This window comes from Homo sapiens, chromosome 2, assembly GCF_000001405.40.
Source record: "Homo sapiens chromosome 2, GRCh38.p14 Primary Assembly".
Taxonomy (NCBI): Eukaryota; Metazoa; Chordata; class Mammalia; order Primates; family Hominidae; genus Homo; species Homo sapiens.
The window spans coordinates 54323263-54328300 of record NC_000002.12 but is presented as its reverse complement, the minus strand read 5'-3'; positions in this window follow the sequence as shown (position 1 = coordinate 54328300).

Genomic DNA, 5038 nt, shown 5'->3' with positions numbered 1-5038 from the left:
TGAACACACTAGCTTAAATAATACATGTAATTTTCTAATTTGTGATAGATATTTGGATTCTTGTCAATGAAGAATAATTCAAAGTAGGTACTAATATTATGCAAGTTAAAAATACCGATGCTCTTTGAGCAAGAACACCATATGTGAGGGAACACAATAAGATGGAAATTGCACATCCAAAATGTTATAGATGTAGAAAATTTTCAACATTTTTTTGTAACCATAGGAAAATTCCAGAAGTAAAGAATGGCACAGTTGTATAACCTGATAGGAAAGCTGAGGCTCAGGGAGATCCAGCTTCCTCTCAGTTCTTTTTTCAATGTTGTGCGTGTGATACAGGTGAGGATCTCAAAAATATGGCATAAACAAAAGCTAGTCCTAGTTCTATTTTTAAAAGATAATTTATTTGCCTCATATACATGTGTTGTGAGGATTAAATGAGAAAATACGTTCAGAGAGCTTATCCTGGCACATAGCACTCACTAAGAGTTAGCTGTTAGTCTTCCTATTTTTATAACTAGTAGGGTAGAAGATTCATTAAGTGCATGCATTATGTTGTCTTTGTTTCATTATCTTATACTATAAAAATTTTATCAAACCAGAATATACATGAATTTGAGGATAATGGAAATGAAAAATGGTAGTGTTAGGTCTGCCCATCTTTGAAGATGGATAGGTTCAAATAAATCACAGAAATGAAAGGGACCCTGTGTTTTCCTCTGGTCGAGGTTCAAAGCTAATTGATTTGTAGCATGCTTTTAAGAGAGACATATTACTAAACAAATAAGTATAAATTGTTACATTTCCTAAAGGGTAAAAATCTCTAGTAGAAATCATATAGATCACTTCTGATATAAATAATCCTGGGTATGCCGGGCATGGTGGTCCACACCTGTAATCCCAGCACTTTTGGAGGCCGAGGCAGGCAGATCACCTGAGGTTGGGAGTTCAATACCAGCCTGACCAACATGGTGAAACCCCGTCTGTACTAAAAATACAAAAAATTAGCTGGGCATGGTGGTGGGTCTCTGCAATCCCAGCTACTTTGGAGGCTGAGACAGGAGAATTGCTTGAACCCGGGAGGCAGAGGTCGTGGTGAGCTGAGATTGTGCCACTGCACTCCAGCCTGGGCAACAAGAGTGAAACTCCATCTCAAAAACAAACAAACAAACAAAAAATACAAAACAAATCCTGGATATATGCATGGGTATGTTTATATTCATATAGATATATAAATTAAAATCTTAATTACATGAGATCTCCTGAAAGAATTAAAACAGCCTGAGTTACTACAAAATGATCAGAAATCACTAGTTTGCAAGTTTACCCGATTGAATGAAGAAATTTGTATTTTATGAATTTGGAGGGCTTATATTTTATTAATTTGCCCACCTCTATGATTTCATGACTTAAGGTTTATTTTTAAATAATCCCAAATACGGTTGCCTGTATAAATGTTGCATGACCAAACAAAGGGTGAATGAAAAAGCCTGTCTTAGGTGGAGAAAATAGTGAAGGGACATTTCCATAATGCAGTGGTATTTTAAATAGAGTGGTCATGGGGTGAAGATGGGTTGAATGAATGGCTATGGATATTTAGCTTCTTGAAGAAGGAACATTGCAAAATGAAACATGGCTGGGGTGATATCATTCTCAAAAGGTTAGGAATCACTAGTAGTTTTAGTCTATTTTCATACTGCTATAAAGAACTACTTGAGACTGGATAATTTATAAAGAAGAGATTTAATTGACTCACAGTTCCACATAGCTGAGGAGGCCTCAAAAAAGTTACAATCATGGTAGAAGGTGGAGGGGAAGCAAGGCATGTCTTACATGGTGGTGAGAGTGAGAGCAAGAGGGAATGTGCCACACTTTTAAATCATAAGATCTCGTGAGAAATCACTATCATGAGAACATCATGAAGGAAACTGCCCCCATGATCCAGTCACCTCCCACCAGGTCCCTTCTCTGACAACATGGAGGTTACAATTCCAGATGATATTTGGGTGGGGACACAGAGCCAAACCATATCATTCCACCCCTGGCCCCTTCCAAATCTCATGTCCTTCTCACATTTCAAAACCAATCATGACTTCTCAACAGTTTCTCAAAGTCTTAACTTATTCCAGCATTAACTCAAAGTCCAAGTCCAAAGTCTCATCTGAGACAAGGCCCTTCTGCCTATGAGCCTGTAAAATCAAAAGCAAATTAAGTACTTCCGAGATACATTGGGGGTACGGGCATTGGATAAATGCTCCCATTGCAAAAGGGAGAAATTGACCAGAACAAAGGGGCTGCAGGTCCCATGCACATCCAAAACCCAACAGGGCACTCATTAAATCTTAATGGTCCAAAATAATCTCCTTTGACACCATGTCTCACATCCAGGACAAGCTGATGTAAGAGCTGGGCTCCCAAGGCCTTGGGCAGCTCTGTCCCTGTGGCTCTGCAGGGTCCAACCCCTGCGGCTGCTTTTTTGGGCTGGCGTTGAGTGCCTGTCGCTTTTGCACGTGCACAGTACAGACTTTCAGTGGATCTACCATTCTGGGTCTGGAGGATGGTGGCCCACTTCTCACAGCTCCACTAGGCAATGCTCCAGTGGGGGACTTTGTATGGGGGCTCCAACCGCACATTTCTACTCTGCATTGCCGTAGGAGAGGTTCTCCATGAGTTCTCCACCCCTGCAGCAGGCTTTTCCCTGGACATTCAGGCATTTCCATATATACTCTGAAATCTAGGCAGAGGCTCTCAAAGCTCAACTCTTGTCTTCTGTGCACCTACAGGCCCAACACCACATAGAAGGTGCCAAGGCTTGGGGCTTGTGCCCTCCAAAGCAATGACCTGAGCTGTACATTGGCCCCTTTTAGCCACGGCTATAGCTGGAGCAGCTGGGTTGCAGGGTGCTCTGTTCCAAGGCTGCACAGAGCTGGGCCCTGGGCCTGGCCCATGAAACCATTTTTCCCTCTTAAGCCTCTGGGCCTGTGATGGGAGGAGCTGCCATGAAGATCTCTGTAATGCTCTGGAGACATTTTCCCCATTGTCTTAACATTTGGCTCTTCATTACTTATGCAAATTTCTGCAGCTGGCTTGGACTTGAATTTCTCCCCCAGAAAATGGGTTTTTGTTTTCTACCACATGGTCAGGCTACAAATTTTCCAAACTTTTATGCCCTGCTTCCTTTTTAAACATTAAGTTCCAATTTCAGACCATGTCTTTGTGAACTCATATGACTATACACTTCAGAAAAAGCCAGGTCACATCTTGAATGCTTTGCTACTTAGAAATCTCTTTCCAGATACCATAAATAATCTCAAGTTCAAAGTTCCACAGATCTCCAGGGCAGGGGCAAAATGCAGCCAGTCTCTTTGCTAAAGCACAGCAAGAGTGACCTTTGCTCCAGTTCCCAGTAAGTTCTTCCCTTGTCTCCATCCGAGACCACCTCAGCCTGAACATTGTTGTACATTTTACTATCAGCATTTTGATGAAAACCATTCAACAAGTCTCTAGGAAGTTGCAAACTTTCCCACATTTTTCTGTGTTGTTCTGAGCCCTCCAAAATGTTCCAACCTGTGACCTTTACCCAGTTCCAAAGTTGCTTCCACGTTTTCAGGTATCCTTACAACAGTGCCCCACTTCTCTTGGTACCAATTTTCTGTATTAGTTTGTTTTCACACTGCTATAAAGAACTGCCTGAGACTGGGTAATTTATAAAGAAAAGGGATTTAATTTGACTCACAGTTCAGCATGGCTGGGGAGGCCTCAGGAAACTTACAATCATGGTGGACAGCAAAGGGGAAGCAAGGCATGTCTTACATGGCATCAGGAGAAGGCAGAGGGGAAGTGCCACACTTTAAAACCATCGGATCTCATGAGAACTCACTCAATATCATGAGAACATCATTTGGGAAACCGCCCCCATGATCCAGTCACCTCCCACCGGGACCCTCCCCCGACACATAGGGATTTCAATTCAAGATGTGATTTTGGTGAGGACACAGAGCCAAACCATATCATTAGCCTAAGCTCTTTAGTTTTGAAGGTTTTCTATGTCTTCTAGCTTCTCTTAAAAACGATTTTCCTCATTCTATTTGAAGAAGTCCAGAGATGTGATCATCTTCCTTGTAGGTCATCGCTATATCTTATTAGCTAACATATAGCCAAGCCAGTATTTATCTTCTGTATTTGAGTACCTTCTGTATTGTGGCCTATTCTCATTGGAACATGAAATTTTAGTTTATTCTTTGAAATTCCTGGCACCTAGAAAATTATCTTACAAATGGGTCAGTCATGGTGGCTCACACCTGTAATCCCAGCACTTTGGGAGGCTGAGGTGGGTGAATCACGAGGTCGGGTGTTCAAGACGAGCCTGGCCAACATGGTGAAACCCCGTCTCTACTAAAAATGCAAAAAATTAGCTGGGCATAGTGCCGGGTGCCTGTAATCCTAGCTACTTGCAAGGCTGAGGCAGGAGAAACGCTTGAACCTGGGAGGTGGAGGTTGCAGTGGGCTGAGATTACACCACTGCACTCCAGCCAGGGTCACATAGTGAGACTCCGTCTCAAAAAAAAAATTATCTTCCAAATAATAGGTCCTGTGAATAAGACAGACACAGAAAATCCTTTATATCCCACAAAATATAAACTACTTTTAATTTCTAAGTGTTTTTTTTTGTGGAAATAGATAATATCTGTTCAATATACTTAGAGAATCTCATTTTTAAAATGGCAATTAGAACTTCCTTTTAAGCTAAAAGAAAACTTAAGTTCTTAAACTTTGCCCAAAAAATCTATTTTTGATCCCTTTGATTAACACAAATTGCCATTCTCTGTACTTTTCCTGGGGGAGGATAGCTAATATTTATTGAACTTTGGGTTTAAACCTGAGTTTAAATCCTAGCTCTGTGACTTTAGGCAAGTTACTTAAATTATTTGAGCTTTAGATATTCAATATTTCTCTTGTTAATCTTTAAAATACAGAAAAGAAGACCCTAACAGAGTAGGGATAAAAGAAGTTATCTTGTAGGGTTATTATATTAAAT